The sequence below is a fragment of the Homo sapiens genome, chromosome 1, assembly GCF_000001405.40.
Source record: "Homo sapiens chromosome 1, GRCh38.p14 Primary Assembly".
Lineage (NCBI taxonomy): Eukaryota > Metazoa > Chordata > Mammalia > Primates > Hominidae > Homo > Homo sapiens.
The window spans coordinates 206,756,368-206,777,444 of record NC_000001.11 but is presented as its reverse complement, the minus strand read 5'-3'; the positions used below and the strand labels follow the sequence as shown (position 1 = coordinate 206,777,444).

At 44.9% G+C, this 21,077-nt stretch overlaps 2 protein-coding genes across 6 annotated transcripts in view, besides 5 other annotated features; one reads left to right on the top strand and one right to left on the bottom strand.

Annotated features, from left to right (window-relative positions):
- Positions 1-6,672, bottom strand: part of IL19 (interleukin 19) — a 72,209-nt gene extending 65,537 nt beyond the window's left edge. Inside the window, exon 1 of one of the 2 annotated variants that reach the window (NM_153758.5) lies at positions 6,367-6,672. The gene's annotated coding sequence lies outside the window, so the exon portion shown is untranslated. The remainder of the gene's footprint in view (positions 1-6,366) is intronic. The other variant, NM_001393490.1, reaches the window with a different exon arrangement.
- Positions 4,701-5,240: a transcriptional cis regulatory region, noted in NCBI's record as "chr1:206945550-206946089 region (GRCh37/hg19 assembly coordinates) targeted for CRISPR interference". NCBI's record gives its function as "positively regulates IL10 gene expression in anti-CD40- and anti-IgM-stimulated BJAB lymphoma cells {active_cell/tissue: BJAB(+anti-IgM and anti-CD40 for 4hr)}" and the evidence as "EXISTENCE:mutant phenotype evidence [ECO:0000015][PMID:33828297]".
- Positions 4,701-5,322: a transcriptional cis regulatory region, noted in NCBI's record as "chr1:206945468-206946089 region (GRCh37/hg19 assembly coordinates) targeted for CRISPR interference". NCBI's record gives its function as "positively regulates IL10 gene expression in BJAB lymphoma cells {active_cell/tissue: BJAB}" and the evidence as "EXISTENCE:mutant phenotype evidence [ECO:0000015][PMID:33828297]".
- Positions 4,951-9,843, top strand: IL10 (interleukin 10). 4 transcript variants are annotated; one of them, NR_168466.1, is made up of 6 exons: positions 4,951-5,174; positions 6,030-6,089; positions 6,386-6,538; positions 7,126-7,363; positions 7,551-7,616; positions 8,717-9,843. NR_168466.1 is itself a non-coding variant. In NM_000572.3 (5 exons), the coding sequence occupies exons 1-5, from the start codon at positions 5,010-5,012 to the stop codon at positions 8,807-8,809; spliced, it is 537 nt and encodes a 178-aa protein (NP_000563.1). In that variant the 5' UTR covers positions 4,951-5,009; the 3' UTR covers positions 8,810-9,843. The 4 variants fall into 4 exon arrangements, 2 of the variants coding, with proteins under 2 accessions (NP_000563.1, NP_001369553.1); NM_000572.3 differs by lacking the exon at positions 7,126-7,363; NM_001382624.1 differs by lacking the exons at positions 4,951-5,174; positions 6,030-6,089; positions 7,126-7,363 and having other exon boundaries at positions 6,256-6,538.
- Positions 6,322-6,511: an enhancer, noted in NCBI's record as "active region_2419". NCBI's record gives its function as "activates an Ori minimal core promoter by ATAC-STARR-seq in GM12878 lymphoblastoid cells {active_cell/tissue: GM12878}" and the evidence as "EXISTENCE:reporter gene assay evidence [ECO:0000049][PMID:35858748]".
- Positions 8,072-8,181: an enhancer, noted in NCBI's record as "active region_2418". NCBI's record gives its function as "activates an Ori minimal core promoter by ATAC-STARR-seq in GM12878 lymphoblastoid cells {active_cell/tissue: GM12878}" and the evidence as "EXISTENCE:reporter gene assay evidence [ECO:0000049][PMID:35858748]".
- Positions 13,469-13,667: a silencer, noted in NCBI's record as "fragment chr1:206937123-206937321 (GRCh37/hg19 assembly coordinates)". NCBI's record gives its function as "represses an EF-1alpha promoter that drives an FKBP-Casp9 reporter gene in an ReSE screen in phorbol 12-myristate 13-acetate-treated (for megakaryocytic differentiation) K562 erythroleukemia cells {active_cell/tissue: K562(+PMA)}" and the evidence as "EXISTENCE:reporter gene assay evidence [ECO:0000049][PMID:32094911]".

Genomic DNA, 21,077 nt, shown 5'->3' with positions numbered 1-21,077 from the left:
GTAGCTGGGAGGCAGATTCTTTTTTTTTTTTTTTTTTTGAGACGGAGTCTCGCTCTGTCGCCCAGGCTGGAGTGCAGTGACGCGATCTCGGCTCACTGCAACCTCCGCCTCCCAGGTTCACGCCATTCTTCTGCCTCAGCCTCCCAAGTAGCTGGGACTACAGGCGCCAACCACCACACCTAGCTAAATTTTTTTTTTTTTTTTTTTTTTTTTTGAGACGGAGTCTCGCTCTGTCGCCCAGGCTGGAGTGCAGTGACGCGATCTCGGCTCACTGCAAGCTCCGCCTCCCAGGTTCACGCCATTCTCCTGCCTCAGCCTCCCGAGTAGCTGGGACTACAGGCACCTGCCACCACGCCCAGCTAATTTTTTCTATTTTTAGTAGAGACAGGGTTTCACCGTGTTAGCCAGGGTGGTCTCAATCTCCTGACCTCGTGATCCGTCCACCTCGGCCTCCCAAAGTGTTGGGATTACAGGCGTGAGCCACCGTGCCCGACAAGGGAGGCAGATTCTTTTTTTTTTTTTTTTTTTTTTTTTTGTAGTTGCAAGATTTAATACAGTGAAAACAGAGCTCCCATACAAAGGGAAGGGACCCAAAGAGGGTAGCCATTGCCGGCTTGGATGCCCGGGTTTATGTCCCGATCATTGTCCCTCCCGCTGTGCTCTCAGGCGATAGATGATTGGCTATTTCTTTACCTCCCGTTTTTGCCTAATTAGCATTTTAGTGAGCTCTCTTTACCACCTGATTGGTCGGGTGTGAGCTAAGTTGCAAGCCCCGTGTTTAAAGGTATATGCGGTCACCTTCCCAGCTAGGCTTAGGGATTCTTAGTTGGTCTAGGAAATCCAGCTAGTCCTGTCTCTCAGTCCCCGCTCTCAACAGGAAAACCCAAGTGCTGTTGGGGAGGTTGGCCGATGACTGCTCTAATGGGAGGCAGATTCTTTATAAGATCTTGTAAACTGTAGAATGCACCCTCCAAAATCTATTTGCATAAGCACACACACACACACACACACACACACCCCAGCAGTTCTTGCCTGCCCAGATTCCTCTGCAGCTAAAGTGATGAAACTTACTGGGCGGAGCTTCCTAAAAAGATTATTAGGGTCTCCTGGGTTGGTGTGCCTTTAAACCTTTGGACTTTACCACCTCCTATCTCTCCTATCTCCTTGCAACAAAGGTTAGGAGAACAAGAATGCAGAAAAAACGGGTCCTGGATGACATCTGAGTGCCTGCTTTGGGCTTCTTGATGAGTGAGACAGAAAATAAAATACAACCCCCTCTTTTAAAAGCCATGCTTACTCAGGTTTTCCTTCATTTGCAGCTAAATACAGAAATGAGAGAATATTTTGGAGCAGGGATGGAAGAAGAGAGGTATTCCCCTTCCCACAACCTTCTGATTTCCCAGTACATCCCCCACTGGAAAAATTCATTTAAAATCAGTATAATAAGCATTGATTAGATGCCTACTATGCATCTGGGCTTGAGGGCAAACTGGACTCAGGCCTTTTGGCCTCAAGAAGCTCACAGTGTGAGAGTGGCATTTGTGTCCTCTTGAAATTCACAGGACTAAATTGTGCCCAGGCTGACATTCTATCCATCCATAGGTGCCTGCCTTCTCACTTCCCTCTCTTCATGGGCTCTTGCCTTGTACCAAAATCCAAACCCAAATCTCCTCACATGTGAGTGTTGGCATTCATGTCTCAGACATGACCTATGGGCTTGGGACTTTTCCCCGTGGACCCCAGTGACTTTTCAGATGAACAGGTATCTTCAAAAACTTGAGAAATAGGAGTCCTGTTTGTTGTTCTTGTTGCTTTGTCAATATAAGGACACAGGGTCTTTATTCAAATGTTCATATCTATCTCTTGACAGAAATACTATGAGACATATTGATGGAGAAGCCGTTATCTCCATATGCTAAATGAGGACTTGCACCAGGGAACTTGCCCATGGTTCTCTCCAACCACTTAAATTCTGAAATTTTGAAATGAGAGTGGACAGTAATTTCAAATCAATGGGGAAAGAATCAAATCTTCAGCAAATGGCTTGAGATAATTAGCTACACATTTCAGAACAAATAAAGAAGTCAGATCCGGGCCGGGCACAGTGGCTCATGCCTGTAATCTCAGCACTCTGGGAGGCCAAGGCGGGCGGATCATAAGGTCAGGAGATCGAGACCATCCTGGTTAACACAGTGAAACCCCGTCTCTAATAAAAATACAAAAAAAAATAAAAAAACTTAGCCGGGCGTGGTGCCAGGCGCCTGTAGTCCCAGCTACTCGGGACGCTGAGGCAGGAGAATGGCTTGAACTCGGGAGGCAGAGCTTGCAGTGAGCTGAGATCATGCCACTGCACTCCAGCCTGGGCAACAGAGCGAGACTCTGTCTCAAAAAAAAAAAAGAAGTCAGATCCTAACCTCAACCCTATTTAACAGATTATAGATGAAAGAAAGGTACAAATGGCTTTTACATACCTCCCTTCTCCCTGACATTTTGTATGTGTGTGTGTGTGTATTTACACACACATCTCATATAAGGAAATTGAAGGGAGGCTGCCTGCATCCCTGAGTCACTCTCCCTCTCCTTCTGAATGCTTACCTGTGCCCAGACCACCTCCTTAGCCTCGCACCCTCCAGGCTTACAGGGCACTCTTCTATGCCCATCCCAAGTATAGCTGATACCTTCCAAGGGCCAGACTTGGTGCTAAGTACCAAGTACGCAAAGATTAATAAAACAATGTCCTGTTTCAGGGAGCTCAAAGCTGATTCGGCAGGGCATGGTGTGTACATGAATGATAACCACGTAGGGTTGCAGGTTTCCTAGTGAGGTAAGCACAAGGCAAGATGGGAAACAAAGGAAGGAGGGGTTCACAGCCTCACCCAGAGTCCAGAACCCCTGGCCTGCCTGGTGCCCATGCTGAGTCCACTTCTGGAACACCCAGCTCAGAGAGGGGGTTAGACCTGCAGGCTAACACAGACACAGCCCAGAAAACCCAGGAGCCGAGGGGGAAGGAGAAAGGTGCAAGAAGGGGAAACCCAGGTCCTGGTCCCCTTCTCTCTGCTTCCTGGCAGCAGAACTCAGACAGAACCCTTAAGCCAGTCTAAGTCTGGCAGGACCAGTAAGTTCTGAGTTAGCTCCATACTAGTTTCTAGCAGGCTCTTTCTCACTTCCTGATTCTTAGGTTTCTACATTGACACTCCCTGAAGAGTTGGGAAGAGACACCACAGTCCCCTGACCCTGATCCATAGGTCACACAGCAGGGACATCCACAGGGTGGGCGTGGGCCCTCTCATCCCTCCCTCCCACTCACTTCACGCTGGCTGGGCCCCAAGGTGTTTGCACCCCTTGCAGTGAGTGACCTTCTCTAGTGCAGCAAGCTCAGAACCTGCTGCCACTGGAGTTGTCCCATTGCTGATGCAGAAAGGTGAAGAACTAGCAGAACACTGGAAATGCCCTCCATCTGGGTCCATGGCTACTTAAGCTCAATGCTCCCTGGCAGGCAGGAGGACAGGTGCTATTGCCCTGTTGGGACAGATGAAAAACAGACACAGGGAGGATGAGTGATTTGCCCTGACTATAGAGTGGCAGGGCCAAGGCAGAGCCCAGGCCTCCTGCACCTAGGTCAGTGTTCCTCCCAGTTACAGTCTAAACTGGAATGGCAGGCAAAGCCCCTGTGGAAGGGGAAGGTGAAGGCTCAATCAAAGGATCCCCAGAGACTTTCCAGATATCTGAAGAAGTCCTGATGTCACTGCCCCGGTCCTTCCCCAGGTAGAGCAACACTCCTCGCCGCAACCCAACTGGCTCCCCTTACCTTCTACACACACACACACACACACACACACACACACACACACACACACAAATCCAAGACAACACTACTAAGGCTTCTTTGGGAAGGGGAAGTAGGGATAGGTAAGAGGAAAGTAAGGGACCTCCTATCCAGCCTCCATGGAATCCTGACTTCTTTTCCTTGTTATTTCAACTTCTTCCACCCCATCTTTTAAACTTTAGACTCCAGCCACAGAAGCTTACAACTAAAAGAAACTCTAAGGCCAATTTAATCCAAGGTTTCATTCTATGTGCTGGAGATGGTGTACAGTAGGGTGAGGAAACCAAATTCTCAGTTGGCACTGGTGTACCCTTGTACAGGTGATGTAATATCTCTGTGCCTCAGTTTGCTCACTATAAAATAGAGACGGTAGGGGTCATGGTGAGCACTACCTGACTAGCATATAAGAAGCTTTCAGCAAGTGCAGACTACTCTTACCCACTTCCCCCAAGCACAGTTGGGGTGGGGGACAGCTGAAGAGGTGGAAACATGTGCCTGAGAATCCTAATGAAATCGGGGTAAAGGAGCCTGGAACACATCCTGTGACCCCGCCTGTACTGTAGGAAGCCAGTCTCTGGAAAGTAAAATGGAAGGGCTGCTTGGGAACTTTGAGGATATTTAGCCCACCCCCTCATTTTTACTTGGGGAAACTAAGGCCCAGAGACCTAAGGTGACTGCCTAAGTTAGCAAGGAGAAGTCTTGGGTATTCATCCCAGGTTGGGGGGACCCAATTATTTCTCAATCCCATTGTATTCTGGAATGGGCAATTTGTCCACGTCACTGTGACCTAGGAACACGCGAATGAGAACCCACAGCTGAGGGCCTCTGCGCACAGAACAGCTGTTCTCCCCAGGAAATCAACTTTTTTTAATTGAGAAGCTAAAAAATTATTCTAAGAGAGGTAGCCCATCCTAAAAATAGCTGTAATGCAGAAGTTCATGTTCAACCAATCATTTTTGCTTACGATGCAAAAATTGAAAACTAAGTTTATTAGAGAGGTTAGAGAAGGAGGAGCTCTAAGCAGAAAAAATCCTGTGCCGGGAAACCTTGATTGTGGCTTTTTAATGAATGAAGAGGCCTCCCTGAGCTTACAATATAAAAGGGGGACAGAGAGGTGAAGGTCTACACATCAGGGGCTTGCTCTTGCAAAACCAAACCACAAGACAGACTTGCAAAAGAAGGCATGCACAGCTCAGCACTGCTCTGTTGCCTGGTCCTCCTGACTGGGGTGAGGGCCAGCCCAGGCCAGGGCACCCAGTCTGAGAACAGCTGCACCCACTTCCCAGGCAACCTGCCTAACATGCTTCGAGATCTCCGAGATGCCTTCAGCAGAGTGAAGACTTTCTTTGTGAGTATGATTCCTTCCTGTCCTTTCTCTCTTCCTGGGACTGCCTGAACTAGACATTCTCCTGGAACTATAAGAACCCTCCTCCTGCGCCTCCACCTCCATCCCCAACACCTATTCCCCCAAACTTAAATTCTTAAGAGAATCCTAGATCAAGCCATGGGTTTGGTGAGTTAAGCTAAGCCAGATGATACAGTAAATGTGCAGGAAACCTGCCTTATAAAGTAAATGCGTTCTCTCTCGTGCTGAGAAACTTATAAGATCCTGCTGGCGCTCTATACTTTATTGGCTAGGAGAAGTAAAGAAATGTCTGATTCGAGGTGAAGATGCTCCCCATGCCTTGCAGCAGGGAAATTTAAATTGCCTCTGCTTAGAGCGTTTCCAGACCTGAAAGACCAGTGGTTTAGGGAAGCACTCTACATGAGGGAAACCTGCATTAGAAGGAGCTTCTTAATCCCTGGGATCTTTCCAAGCTAAACTGGATGTCTACAGTGGGGAGAAAGAAAAGCAGAGAACAGGACATGAGGGGGGCTCAAGGCCCCGAAGGGTTGACATAGGTGTCCCTTAAAGCCGAATGTAGCTCCGCAGAAAGAAGACCAGGACTGAGTCAAGCTTCTGCTTTCCCTTCAAAATCGGCCAGATTTTTTAAATAACTTGACTCTGAGGAGGAGGACCTGATTTAAGTGATGGTCCCATCACTGTTGAATCCTCTGTTTTTAAAACTCCCCTTTTGATTTTTTTGGGCCAGAGCCAATTTTATTTAAAAAAAAAAATCTCTAAATGAAAGGGCATCAAAAAGACCGCATTTCAGTTATTTCCCCAAACCTCAAGTTCATTCTCCTTTTGTTCTTCCTGCAGCAAATGAAGGATCAGCTGGACAACTTGTTGTTAAAGGAGTCCTTGCTGGAGGACTTTAAGGTGAGAGCAGGGGCGGGGTGCTGGGGGAGTGTGCAGCATGATTAAGGGAAGGGAGACTCTGCTTCCTGATTGCAGGGAATTGGGTTTGTTTCCTTCGCTTTGAAAAGGAGAAGTGGGAAGATGTTAACTCAGCACATCCAGCAGCCAGAGGGTTTACAAAGGGCTCAGTCCCTTCGGGGAGGCTTCTGGTGAAGGAGGATCGCTAGAACCAAGCTGTCCTCTTAAGCTAGTTGCAGCAGCCCCTCCTCCCAGCCACCTCCGCCAATCTCTCACTCACCTTTGGCTCCTGCCCTTAGGGTTACCTGGGTTGCCAAGCCTTGTCTGAGATGATCCAGTTTTACCTGGAGGAGGTGATGCCCCAAGCTGAGAACCAAGACCCAGACATCAAGGCGCATGTGAACTCCCTGGGGGAGAACCTGAAGACCCTCAGGCTGAGGCTACGGCGCTGTGTAAGTAGCAGATCAGTTTTTTCCCTTGCAGCTGCCCCCAAAATACCATCTCCTACAGACCAGCAGGGACACTCACATCCACAGACACAGCAAAGACACAGACTGGCAGAGCTAGCTGTAAATGAGGAAAGACTCCTGGAGTCAGATCTCTTGCTCATTTCTCTTTGAGCAGGCGTTGGGGGTGGCTGCTAGGCATTTACATGTGAAATTTGCAAACAGCTTTCCTGTTATTTGTGAGTCATTTGTGGGTTATTAACTACTCCCCTCTCTCTTCATAAAAGGAGCCCAGAGCTTCAGTCAGGCCTCCACTGCCTCTTTGTAACTAGACCCTGGGCGGGGAGCTAAGGTTCCCAAGCAGAGGAAACATCATTCACCTCTTTTAATCTCAATGTTTTGAAAGCAAAGCTCTAAGAAGGGCCCAATTGACTGACAGGATTTCCCCTGGCATTTTAGAAGGGACAAGGGGGCTATTCATCCCCAGGCTAGTGTCTATGAGTAATTCCTCCAGGTAATTTATTTCTCCAACTGAAATGATGCCCTCACTACTAATGGTTTCCCCTGTTCTGTCACCAATATTGGAAAATCAGTTGGTGTCTATTTGTAGGACAAGGCTATGTGAAGGGTTTGGTCCCAGTAGCTTCCCTCCTCAGATGCTTAGAAGTGTTCCTCGGTGGCTGTGACTGACGGGGAGGAACAGGAGAGAGAGGCAGAAAAGGACAGGCTGAAGAATGCCTCGCTCAGCACTGCAGGAGATACTGTAGAGTTCTGGGGGAGGAAGGAATCCCAAGACCTGGGTTGTCATCCAAGCCTTGCAAACATCTTGGAGTGAGTCCTGGAGAAATACATTTAACTCCCAGGGCCATGGAAGCAGGGCTCAGTTCTCTCTGGGAGCTGTGAGGCAAGGCATTTGGATAAATCTGGCCTCCTCATGATGCCACCAGCTTGTCCCCTAAGTGTGATGGACATGGAGCTGGAAGCCAGGATCACCAACACTTTCTCTTTTCTTCCACAGCATCGATTTCTTCCCTGTGAAAACAAGAGCAAGGCCGTGGAGCAGGTGAAGAATGCCTTTAATAAGGTGAGCTTGGATGGTGGCAGAGAGGGTCTGCAGAGCACAACCCATGCCCACTCCCCAACCCCAAAGCATGGAAGGTGGTGGGGACTCAATAGGCCCCATTCTTCATTGGAGAGAGTGTGGGAACCTGACAGATGGTATGACCTGCTCAGCCAGTGAGGAGCTGCTGCCTTGATTGTATTTGTTTTCTGTTAAGTGTCTTTGGGGGTTTCTAAATGACTGCTCGCTGCCTTTGCAGGCTTGCGGGTTAGGCTGGCCGGCCAGCCTGTGAACACAGTGAGCTGCATGCTGGGGAGAGTGACAAAGGAAACAGAAAGTACAGAAAGTAGCTTGTTGGGAATCTAGGCTGAACCCACACGTGCAGGAAGCTGGCACATAAATGTGCACATACAAATACACCTGGGGGTTCAGCCCAGACTCCCCAGAACTCAGAATGAGCAGGAAGCTGGATTCTCACTTAACCTGGAGTTGGTTCAAGCCCGCTTTCCATCTGCCCTTCGCACCTGCGGAGGTGCCTGAGAATGTCAGTTCCCAAACGAAATGGGGTTTCACACTTCCAACTGTGCGTGAACTTTTTCAGTCTGATTTCCCAGAAACCGTGCGGCCTATGTCCTCCTCGTGGGCTGGGGACAGACACTGCACAGAGTGCCAACATCAGGGGGTGTGAATTTCTCATAGTAGGTCAGGGCGGCAGGGCAGGGCCTGCTCAGTGTGTTGGTGGGAGAACACAGACATTTAAAAGGCTCCCTCCTCTCCTCTCACCGTCTTGCTTTCGAAGCGCTTCCTCTAATGTCTTTTCATCAAACTCTGCATAATCATCATGTGAATACGTGACCTTTAAAATTGTTGAAAAGGCATCATTTTGAAGACAGTGCTTTGCAAAATGAATGCTCCCCTTGCTAGGGGGAGGCCTGGAGGAGATGAAGGTCAATGCACAGCCTTTCCCAAGGCAGCTAGGCCTATCCTCTGGTTTACTTCCCAGCGTGAGGGAGAACAAGCAACCTCTGCACTCAAGGTCATGCCCATCCATGAGCATGAGGGAGGGGAGCCTATTTAGTCCCCAGAAAGGATTTTAACTGTATGTTTCTTATCTCTCTGCACAGCTCCAAGAGAAAGGCATCTACAAAGCCATGAGTGAGTTTGACATCTTCATCAACTACATAGAAGCCTACATGACAATGAAGATACGAAACTGAGACATCAGGGTGGCGACTCTATAGACTCTAGGACATAAATTAGAGGTCTCCAAAATCGGATCTGGGGCTCTGGGATAGCTGACCCAGCCCCTTGAGAAACCTTATTGTACCTCTCTTATAGAATATTTATTACCTCTGATACCTCAACCCCCATTTCTATTTATTTACTGAGCTTCTCTGTGAACGATTTAGAAAGAAGCCCAATATTATAATTTTTTTCAATATTTATTATTTTCACCTGTTTTTAAGCTGTTTCCATAGGGTGACACACTATGGTATTTGAGTGTTTTAAGATAAATTATAAGTTACATAAGGGAGGAAAAAAAATGTTCTTTGGGGAGCCAACAGAAGCTTCCATTCCAAGCCTGACCACGCTTTCTAGCTGTTGAGCTGTTTTCCCTGACCTCCCTCTAATTTATCTTGTCTCTGGGCTTGGGGCTTCCTAACTGCTACAAATACTCTTAGGAAGAGAAACCAGGGAGCCCCTTTGATGATTAATTCACCTTCCAGTGTCTCGGAGGGATTCCCCTAACCTCATTCCCCAACCACTTCATTCTTGAAAGCTGTGGCCAGCTTGTTATTTATAACAACCTAAATTTGGTTCTAGGCCGGGCGCGGTGGCTCACGCCTGTAATCCCAGCACTTTGGGAGGCTGAGGCGGGTGGATCACTTGAGGTCAGGAGTTCCTAACCAGCCTGGTCAACATGGTGAAACCCCGTCTCTACTAAAAATACAAAAATTAGCCGGGCATGGTGGCGCGCACCTGTAATCCCAGCTACTTGGGAGGCTGAGGCAAGAGAATTGCTTGAACCCAGGAGATGGAAGTTGCAGTGAGCTGATATCATGCCCCTGTACTCCAGCCTGGGTGACAGAGCAAGACTCTGTCTCAAAAAATAAAAATAAAAATAAATTTGGTTCTAATAGAACTCAGTTTTAACTAGAATTTATTCAATTCCTCTGGGAATGTTACATTGTTTGTCTGTCTTCATAGCAGATTTTAATTTTGAATAAATAAATGTATCTTATTCACATCATGTTCTGGTGTCAGTTGACTCTTGTCTGACTAAAATTGTTCTCTCAAAGCTCCCAAGACAAAAGAGAGTGGGTGAATGAATTCTGCATTTCAGAGAAAGGAAGCCAGCTACCCCCTACCCCCAGGAGAGAGGGAAGGCTCCAAACCTGATCAGAGAAAAAGCTATTCTCACTGCAAAAGCCAGTAGCAAAGACATCATGGTCTTCCCACAACTCAATCCTTTAAAGATTTGCTCCTAAATCCTTAAAGATCATGCTGATTTTCAAGGCTAACGGGGAGATTCTGTAGGTACCAAAATTAGAAAGGTAAACAGGGGAAGGTTTTTTGGAGGTTGTTTTTGTTTTTGTTGTTGCTTTTCGAGACGGAGTCTCGCCCTGTCTCCAGGCTGGAGTGCAATGGCATGATCTCAGCTCACTGCAACCTCCGCCTCCCAGGTTCAAGTGATTCTCCTGCCTCAGCCTCCCAAGTAGCTGGGACTACAGGCATGTGCCACCACGCCCGGCTAATTTTTTGCATTTTTAGTACAGATGGGGTTTCACCATGTTGGCCAGGCTGGTTAGGAACTCCTGGCCTCAAGTGATCCGCCTGCCTCAGTCTCCCAAATTGCTGGGATTACAGGCGTGAGCCACCACACCCGGCCAGGGGAAGTTTTTAGGGTGAATACAAATTGCCTGGGTTATCCTGAGGATTAAGATAATGAGCTAACAGGGCTTCTGGCACTAGGAGATGTTCGCAGTGCGTATAGTTGGTTGTTATTGGTTATCACAACCAAAAACTCCCGCCAAATCCTCTTTGAGCTGAGATCAGAGGCAACAGGGCTGGACCCAACAGAGTTGAAAATAAGCAAATTAGCCCACTTGAGAGGATAGCCAAGGACATAAGCTGCTGCTCTTTCTGTCCCCTCTCTGAGCCACCAGACAAATGTGAGATTGGCTTCTGACTGCGGTCTGCTGGGAGGGGCACGGTGGCTGGGGAAGCCCTACTCAAAGCCCCGTGACTTAGAGGAGAGAGGAGGAAAAAAATGAGCTGAGTAAACACTAGTCCCCCTCACGCTCTGCCTGGGCAGCCCTGGTCTGGGGAAGGCTGGGAGCGGACAGGCTGTGGTCAGTTTTTCAGTAAGACCTGACTCACTTCGGTTAAAGTAACCATAGGAAGGAAGTGGGAAACATCAAAGCGAAAATTCTGAGATGAAAGGGTAGGAGTAAGAATGGAGGTTAGCAGAAGATAAGGAGAGGGGGCCTGAAGCTCTCTACTCTGAGGCTGTCCATCCTGAACTGAAGAAGACATCCTGAGTCTGTGAAAGGAAAATCTTGGGGCCTCAAAATCACCAAGCTAAAGGGAAAAGTCAAGCTGGGAACTACTCAGGGCAAACCTGCCTCCCATTCTATTCAAAGTCATCCCTCTGTTCACTGAGATAGATGCATATCTGATAGCCTCCTTTGGAAAAGAATCAGAAACTCAAAAGAATGCAACCATTTGTCTCTTACCTACCTGTGACCTGGAAGCCCCTTCCCTGCTTTGAGTTGTCCCCATCTTTCTGGATGGAACCAATGTACTTCTTACATATATTGATTGATGTCTCATGTCTCCCTAAAATGTATAAAACCAAACTGTGCCCCAACCACCTTGGGCACATGTCATCAGAACTTCCTGAGGCTGTGTGACAAAGCTGTGTCACGGGCACATGTCCTCAACCTTGGCAAAATAAACTTTCTAAATTAACTGAGACCTGTCTTAAATTTTCAGGGTTCACAAGTCCCCTGGCCTGGAAGGCTTAGGCCATTAGCCTTCCAGGCAATGCATACTGACTTTAGTTTGAGCCTGGCATTTCATCTGAGCGAAGTGGGCATCTGAAACAAACAGAAACTCACCTGAAAAAAAGCTGTACAGCTGAAAAGATGTTAATGATAGCTACAATTTATTAAGCAACTACAGTTTATTAAGCTAGTCACTTATTTTAAGCCATTTGGTATGTATTATGTAGCAATAAGATGGCATTATTGCTGTTTTCTCCAAGAGGAAGCTGATAGTCATTTTTTTCTGTTACATTTGCTTTATTGGGATTTAATAATCTAACATTCTGTAGATCATATTTGACAGTCAGGGTTTCTAAACAACCATATTAACCCAGCTTTTTAAATCATGAGTTGATCACAGGTTAACCTGGGAGAAAACATAGGCTCTGCACTTCCAATTTATCATCTGTTTGTGTGTATAATTGTTCCAGTATACCTGATATTTATGTTAATGGCAATATGAACATTGACTAAAGTCATTTGCTGGCTACTTTGCTAAGTACTTGATATATATTAGCTCATTAATTATCAGGTAAAACTATTAGGCACTATTAATATCTCCATTTTTTCATGTAGTGAAAATGAGACCCAGAGAAGCTATATAATTTACCTTTGGTCATCCAGCTATTAAAAGACAGTCCGTGGTCTTAATGATTATCCTACACTCCTAAAGTCATTTTCACAGGTAAATTACTGCATCATTCTTCTTTCCTAATATAATTCTGTTTGTATCATGAAAAATTAAGATACAGGTTTTATAGTATGTTGTGTATCCACTTTTGTTTGTCTCAAGATGTTTTTAAATTTCTCTTTTAATTTCTTCTTTGACCCACTGGCTGTCTGGGAGCATGAGAAATGTCAATCTGGCTTGGCCACATGGGTAACATGGAGAATGGAGAACTGAGTATAGAATAAAATACTTTTCTCTTTGTATTAATTATCTATTGCTGTCTTCAAAATTTAGCTGCTTAAAACAACAGTCATTTGTTATCTCACAGCTTCTGTAAGTCAGGAGTCTGGGAGTGACAACTAGGAATTCCATCTCAGGATTTCTAATGAGGCTTTGTCAGAAGTACAGCCAGGGCTGCAGTCACCTGGTGGCCTGACTGGGCTAACGGATTCATGAGTAACATGGCACACTCACAGGGCTGTTGGCAGGTGGCCTTGGTTCTTCTTCACAGGGCTTCTTGAGTGTCCTCGCAACATGGCAGCTGTCCTCCCCAGAGCCAATGATGCAAGAGAGAATAAGGAGAAAGTTGCAGTATATTTTACGACCTAATTCCAGAAATCTCACACCATCACTTCTGCTATATTCCGTTTGTTAGAAGTGAACCAGTAAGTCTAGCCCACATTCAAGGGAAAAGGAATTAGATTCTGCCTTTTGAAGGGAGGAGTGTCCAAGAATTTGTGCACCTATTTTAAAACAATCACAACCTTTTAAGAATCTAGAAGAAATAGTTTTGCGCTCTTGAGCTGGCAGGGCAAAGGGGAGGAGTTGGGTGGGCCTCAGTGTGCCTGGATAGGCCATCATCATGCACACTCCCACCAGTCCTCTCTCATAGGCTCACTCTAATAGATTTATTTCTCTAAGGCTTAGTTTCTCATCTGGAATACTAGCAAAACGTCTCCCCAGGTGCTATGGCCTGAATGTTTGTGTCTCACCAAAATTCATATTTTAAAGCCCTTTCCCCCAGTGTGATGGTACTTGAAGTGGGGAACTTTTTGAGGTGAGTAGGGTTAGATGAGGTCATAAGGGTGGGACCCTCAGGATGAGATTAGTGCCCTTATGAGGAAGACACTAGAGAGCTTGCTGTCTTCCCCCCACTACCCCCAAGTGTGCTCAAAGAAGAGGTCATGTGAGCACACAGTGAGATGACGGCCACCTCCAAGCCAAGAGAAGAGGACTCAGAATGAAACCTGCCTTGCCAGCACCTTGATTTTGGACTTCCTAGCCTCCAGAACATTGAGAAAACACGTTTTTGTTGTTTAAGCCACCCAGTCTGTGGTATTTTGCTATGGCAGCCTGAGCTGACTAATATACCAGGTTTGCTATAACTGCCAAATGAAATCTCAGGTATGAAGGTACATATGTGTTTTGAACAGGGAGCACAGAGATGAGGTTTTGATGGGATTTTTTTTTCAACAAGCCTTTATTCTCTAAGAAAAGCATCCATTTCCTCTCTTCCATGTCTACTCTGTGCCCTTACACTTGAGTTTGGAAAACAGTGGAGAATGAAAATCTGTTTGTCTGTGATGCTGGCTTTGGAGGTAAGGAAGGTGGAACTGGTGAGAAGCCCCTGCAATCTGTGATGACAATGTGGTTACCTATGCAGCCACTGACAGAAATTAGAGAAGAAGCAAATGGGTTCTTCCACCCTGGGAGTGAAGCACAAGGCAGAAGGAAGGGGAAGAGATCAGAGATGAAAAGAAAGAAGAGAGCAGGTGCCGTGGCTCCCACCTGTAATCCCAGCACTTTGAGAGGCCGAGGCGGGTGGATCACCTGAGTTCAGGAGTTCAAGACCAGTCTGGCCAACGTGATGAAACCCTATCTCTACTAAAAATACAAAAAAAATAGTCAGGCGCGAGCCTGTAGTCCCAGCTACTTATGAGGCTGAAACAGGAGAATCGCTAGAACCTGGGAGGCAGGGGTTGCAGTGAGCCAAGATCGTGCCATTGCACTCCAGCCTGGGCAACAAAAGCGAAACTTAAAAAAAAAAAAGAAAGAAAGAAAGAAAAGAAAAAAGAAAAAGAACGAAAGAACGAAAGAAAAAAAGAAAGAAAGAAGGAAGGAAGAAAGAAAGAAAGAGAGAAGAAAGGAAGGAAGAAAGAGAAAAAGAAAAAGAAAGAAGAAAGAAAGAAAGAAAAAGAAAAAGAAAGAAAGAAAGGAAGGAAGGAAGAAAGAGAGAGAGAGAGAAAGGAAAGGAAAGGAAAGGAAAGGAAAGGAAAGGAAAGGAGAAAGGCAAGTTAGTTCAGTGACAAAACTTCCCATTCTGTGACATGTGTCCCCCTCAAAACACTTATATGAGTAGTTTTAACTGTGGAATACGGGAACCAGCTTTAGTCCTGGGGTGATTTAGGGAAAACCAGACCTAACACTCCAAGGAAATGGGAGCTGAATTGTAAGAACATAAACCCAGAATTTTAAATAATGGGAAGATCTTTCAACTTTCATAAGCGACAGAACTGGCTACAGAATGAACCAGTCAATTGCATATCTTCAGGGGCTAGTGGGTCCCAGGTGACACATGGGTTCCATTATTCAATACCCCTTCTAGGCACTAACTCACTTGGTGACTTCAAAGATTTTACTTAACTTGTCTGGGACTCAGTTTCCTCAACAATAAATAAGAAAATAGGTCTGAATCAATGGTTTCCCTTGGGGAAAACCATTCACCTCTGTGGCCACTACAGTGGAGCCAGTCGCTCCTGGGGACAAGAGTGACAGCGCTTATAGCAGGTGATGGGGGTAGTCTGAGCAATTTCCAAAATTTGAAAAAGCCTCATGGAAATTGTGCATTTAGCAACACCTCCTCTCATAAGTCTGCACAAGCTCATTAAAAAGCACTTCTCCCTGTTTGGATGGAGTCATCCACTTTGTGTGGGAAGACAGTTTGTCCCATGCCAATCAGAGTTCTATTTGGCCGTTATCTATTACATCTTTTTCTTTTCTTTTTTTTTTTTTTTTTTGCCAAGGAGTCTCGCTCTGTCGCTCAGGCTGGAGTGTGCAGTGGCACGATCTCAGCTCACTGTAACCTCTGCCTCCCAGGTTCAAGCGATTCTTACGCCTCAGCCTCCCATGTAGCTGAGATTACAGGTGCCCGCCACCACGCCCAGCTAATTTTTGTATTTTTAGTAGAGACGGGGTTTCACCATGTTGGCCAGGCTGGTCTTGAACTCCTGGCCTCCAGAGATCCACCTGCCTCAGCCTCCCAAAATGCTAGGATTACAGGTATGAGCTACCATGCCCAGCCCATCTATTACATCTTTGATTAAGGCAATCAGAAAATGGAATTATTTCTTTAAAAAGTTTTTAAGCAGCCAAAACATTTTAAAACAGAGAGTCTCTGGAGAAATTTAATAGCAGCAGTCCTTCAATTAAAAGCTTAAAAGTCGCTAAACTAGATGACCTCTAAATTCTGTTCGAGCCTGTAGTTCCTCATTCCAGCCACTGACTCCTCCAGTCCACCAGGCCTATTCCCACTGGAATCCTCCTCCAGGACTCATTCCTGTGTCTACAGCATCTGCACTCCTAATTTGCCAGGCAGTTCCCATTTATCTGTGTATTATCAACAGCTCCCTCCCCCAGCAGAATTGAGCTGCCATTGAGCCTTTAGCTTCCAGAGGCCTCCTTGGCACCCTGGCTGGAGAGGACAAGGGGGACATAAAAGACCTAAGGAAAGTGACACAGCGTACCTCTGACTCTACAGCACAGGGTGACATGCACAGCCTCTGGAGTCTGAGCCCAGGCTTCCACTTACTTCTCAGCTACATGACCTTGAGACATTCCCTAGCTTGGTATTCTCCTCTGTAACATGGAGAGAATAATTACTCTTTCAAGGTGTCGTCAGAAAAAATAAAGGCTTGAATACATAAAAGTCTCCCGGCACAGAGTAAATACTTAATAAAAGCAGCTCTATCGCAGACATTTGGGAAAATGCTCCCATCCAACCAGATGGAACAATAGGTGCCAACACCATGGAAAATAGCTGGACATGCCTTGCGCTTGTACCAATCATAGACCTGGGCTTTTCCTTACAGTGCCTTCTGCCTCCCTACCACCATTTCTGGGCGGAAAGAGTAAATGGTTTGTCCCTGCACTTGGAAGGGAAAGAAAGGAAGCAACCATTTTTGAGTGCCCACTTTCAATTTCCTGAAGGTGACCTCAGAAATGCTTGGCTTGGTGAAGTAAAAAAATACACATTATGAATTATAGCCCCTAGAGTTCTATAAATCCAGTGAACAGCTTAATATACATGCCTAACTGCCATTTAGAGCAATAATAGCTACACATACTATTAAGTATAGATTAGATCAACCATGTAGAAAGCTTATTCGATTACAGCACTGGACTTTGCTCAAATATGCTTTCTCCATCATTGCTGCTGATCTGCTAGCAATATGAAATATGAGAATTCAGCCAACTATTCTATTCTCCCTTACTATTATTCAAGAAAAAAATATTTTCCAAGGTCATGAAGCCATTGCATAACAGAGCTCATTGTGTGTCCAGTATACAACCCGGAATCTTATGCTTATTTAAAGAAGTCTTCCTGCATTACTTAGGGAAGTGGGATGTTATTTCCGCAAACTGACCCTATTATATACTCTTCACCAAGGCTGAATTAGTAACTTTGGTCAGTATGTGGCATTAAGTAACTAATTGAATCTCCCTACATAATAATCTCCACATTCATGTCTGATGATCATGACACCCAAATCGAAAGAGAAGCAGATTGCTTCTCCATAATCTGCAAAGATGGAGTCATCCACTTTGTGTGGAAAGACAGGTTGCCTCATGTCAATCAGAGTTCTATTTGGCAGTCATCTATTACATCTTTTTCTTTTTCTTTTTTTTTTTTTTTTTTTTTTGGAAAGGAGTCTCCAAACCTCTGGCTTGGAGGCAAGCCAAGCCAGAGGTTTTACAAGATACACACTTATTCACTCAGAACTTATTATGCTCCAGGTACTATGCTGGGTGTCGAAGAAAAAGCAGTGAATAAGACAGACATAATCCTTGCCCTCGTGGATTTCTTTTAATTTTTTAAATAGAGATGGGGGTCTCACTATGTTGCCCAGGCTGGATTTGAACTCCTAGGTGCAAGTGATCCTCCTTCCTCAGCCTCCCACCAATCCTGGCTCCAGCTACACGGATTTAATAGCTAGTTGAGGAAACAGATATTATAAAGTTAACTATATAATGTTATTATAATCATGATTATTTCTATTAATTAGAAGTGTGAGATTTCAGAAAGCAACTAACCTAGACTCAGGGCTAGGGGATGCTTTCATGAGATGGTAACATTCAACTGGACATGAAGGATGAGCAGGAGCTGGCCCAATGAAGAGAGAGGTGGTAAGAAGCAGAGCATTTTGCAGATTTAAAGACCACTAAGAACAGCAAAGAACGGGGGAGAAGGGGTTTATCTCTGGAGCAAAGGTAAATTTGTACCAATTCACGACCCAGCTGGACCCTGGGCTCTCTTCACAGCTCTCTGACTTCTCCATCCCATCTCATGTTCTGAGGCCCTGAGGCAAGAAGAAACTTAAACTCTTTGAGAAACTAAAAGATGAATCACAGAGAGTAAGGGACATTATATGTGATGGGGAGAGATTTAAGACGAGCTTGAAGAAGTGGGCATGGGTCTGATCACTCAGGGATGGTAGGCTATGGTCAAAAATTTAGACTCTAAGAGCAAAGGGAAGCCATTGAAGGCTATTAAACAGAGAGGATAATATATACCTTCTGTATGAGACCATTTAGGAGCCATTTGCTTCCAGTCCAGACAGGAAGAAATTGTGTTCTGGACTAAGGTGGTAATAAACAGGAATTGAGAGAAGTGCAAGGTTTCAAATAGTCTGCAATTATTTAGGTCAGAATGGTGAGAGTGGGCGACGGCCAAGGTGAACCCTCATCTCTTGTCTGAGCAGCTGGGTGGAGAAGCAGCAAGTTTGAAGGGGAAGGTGATCTGGTCTACACTGGTCCTGCTGAGTTGGAGGTGCCTCTGAGTCTTTAAGTGAAAATATACACGTGGTCAGATGGACATCAAGATTGAGTCTGGAGATCACTATGTGGGGGTCATTGATACAAAGATGGTGAGTAAAATCGTGGGAGTGGGTAAGATTACCAAGGGAAAACAGTGCAGAATGGAAGAGAAGAGAGCCCAGAACCAAGCTCCGAAGAACCCAGATATTCATAAGCCAGAGCAGGAGAAGCTGTCAAAGAGACTCATTAAAGAGTGGCCTGAGCGATAAAAAGAAACACCAGAAGAGAGTGGCATCCCTGAGGACAAGGAAAGAAACTATTTCGAGAAAGAGAATGGTCAGCTAGATCAAATGCTATCAAAACGTCAAGTAAAATCAAGGCAAAAGAGCCCCTAGTGCATGGAACACATGAAAGGCACTGTTGATTTTATCAAGAAGAGCTGTAAGGATGTAGAGCTGTAGGGATGTAGAGCGGTAGGGATGGAAGACGGATGGTTGCACATGAAATAGGAGGTGAAAAAATGGGGTGGCTCATGCCTGCTATACCAGCGTGGTGGCTTACGCCTTCAATCCCAGCACTTTGGGAGGCCAAGGCAGGCAGATCATCTGAAGTCAGAAGTTCAAGACCAGCCAGCCTGGCCAACATGGTGAAACCCCATCTCTACTAAAAATACAAAATTTAGTCGGGTGTGGTGGTGCACGCCTGTAATCCCAGCTACTCGGGAGGCTGAGGTGGGAGAATCGCTTGAACCAGGGAGGTGGAAGTTGCAGTGAGCCAAGATCATGCCATTGCACTCCAGCCTGGGTGACAGAGCAAGACTCCATCTCAAATAATAATAATAGGATGACAAGCGTGGACAACTGTTTCAAGACATTGGGCCAGGAGAGGAGAAGAAGAAGTTGAAGACAGAAGAGTGAGATGGGAGAACTGATGAAGTCAGGTTACTCAGAAAGCAGGACGGGGTGGGATGCAGGCAGAGCAAAGAACTACCTTTGAAATGAAGAGGGCACCTCCTCTGAATAATAACAGGAAGAAAGTAGAGACGGTGGGTACAGAAGCAGGTTGGTTTGAAGAATCGTTGGCAGGAAGTTGAGGTTAATTTCATCAGATGACTTATATTTACTCTTAAGAGAATGAATAAGGAGAGAATGCAGGGCGGTTTAAGGAGAGAAACAAAGGTTTGAAATGATGTTTGCAGAGACACGGAAGACAAACGACTCTAGAGAAATGTAGTAGATTCCCAGGCAGTGTTGAGCTCAGTTGAGGTAGGTGATCATGAATTGAAATGGTCTGCCAGACTATATCATTTTTCTCAGGATTCTTTTGGCAGCCGGGGGAGCAATACATAGAAGGCAGAATTGTTTTGCCCCGTGAGTATAACAAAAAGACGAGGAGGAGGAGTTGAGAGTACAAGTGTACCTCATTTTATTACACTTCACTTTATTGTGCTTTGTAGATAATGCAGGGTTTTTTCATAAATTGAAGGTTCGTGGCAATCCATGACGAGCAAGTCTATCGACACTATTTTTCCAACAGCATGTGCTCACTTTGTGTCTCTGTGTCACATTTTGGTAATTCTCAGAATATTCCAAAGTTTTCATGATTATTCAGTCTGTTGTGATGTCCTGTGACCAGTGATCTTTGATGCTAATACTGTAGTTGTTTTGGGGCACCACAAACTGTGTCCATATAAGACAGAGAACTTAACTGATCAATGTCATGTGTATTCTATTTTCTTGCACAAAATATAAAATGCTTTAATTTCATCCTATAAATTGCTATCACTTATATTGTAATTTTTATCTCTTAAAGCAATATCTAGAACCATATGCTACATCTTAAATTATTTCAAAGTTACCAATTTGTTCAAATCTCTCTACTGTTGAGATTATGGCTTGTTCTATAATGAGCAGAAAATAGGTTCTATTGAAATTAGTTTGAGGATTATTTGTGCATGAATTTTTGCCTTCAAAGTCAGAAAAATATTTTCCTTGCTCTGATTTTCTTATGTTGTATTGAACTGTCACTTTTGTTCATATGTCGCATGCAGTTTCACTCAATTTAAATAGACAATTTTCTCTAAAATTAAAACAACATTTTAAAAAGTAAATCTATTTTTGTTTTTGTAAGCTTTTGATAACATTATTGATATAAGTGATACACAAAAACTTTATGGTAGCAAATATAAAATTAATCTTGTTTTTCACCAACAACTACAATTCACTCTTCATTTAAGGATCTTCTAATGTTTCACTTATACATCTTCTGTCTTGTCTAGACTAAGTCTAATTGCTTTAGTAGCATTATTTTAGGGGAAAAGGGAATTGTTCATTTCCCTCCATGGGGTTTAGAAAGTAATTTCACATTTCATTTATGTTGTATGTGCTCTGACTTCTCCACCAACTGCCTGCTCTTCCAGCTCTCTCCTTCTCCTAGGACCTCTCTATTATTTGAGATGTAACAATATTGAAATTAGGCCAAATAATAATCCTACAATGGTCTCTAAGTGTTCAAGGAGAAGGAAGACTCACACATCTCTTACTTCAAATTAAAACCTAGAGATGATTAAGCTTAGTGAGGAAGGCATGTTGAAAGCTGAGACAGGCCAAAAGCTAGGGCTTTTGTACCAAACAGCCAGTAAATGTGAAGGAAAAGTTTCTGAAGGAAATTAAAAGTGATACTCCACTGAATACACAGATGGTAAGTCAGTGAAACAGCCTTATTGCTGATACAGAG

Coding starts and splice junctions, on each gene's coding strand:
- IL10 (NM_000572.3), top strand. CDS start 5,010: ATGCACAGCTCAGCACTGCTCTGTTGCCTGGTCCTCCTGACTGGGGTG. Junction 6,090..6,385: donor CCTTGCTGGAGGACTTTAAG/GTGAGAGCAGGG, acceptor TCCTGCCCTTAG/GGTTACCTGGGTTGCCAAGC. Junction 7,617..8,716: donor TGAAGAATGCCTTTAATAAG/GTGAGCTTGGAT, acceptor CTCTCTGCACAG/CTCCAAGAGAAAGGCATCTA.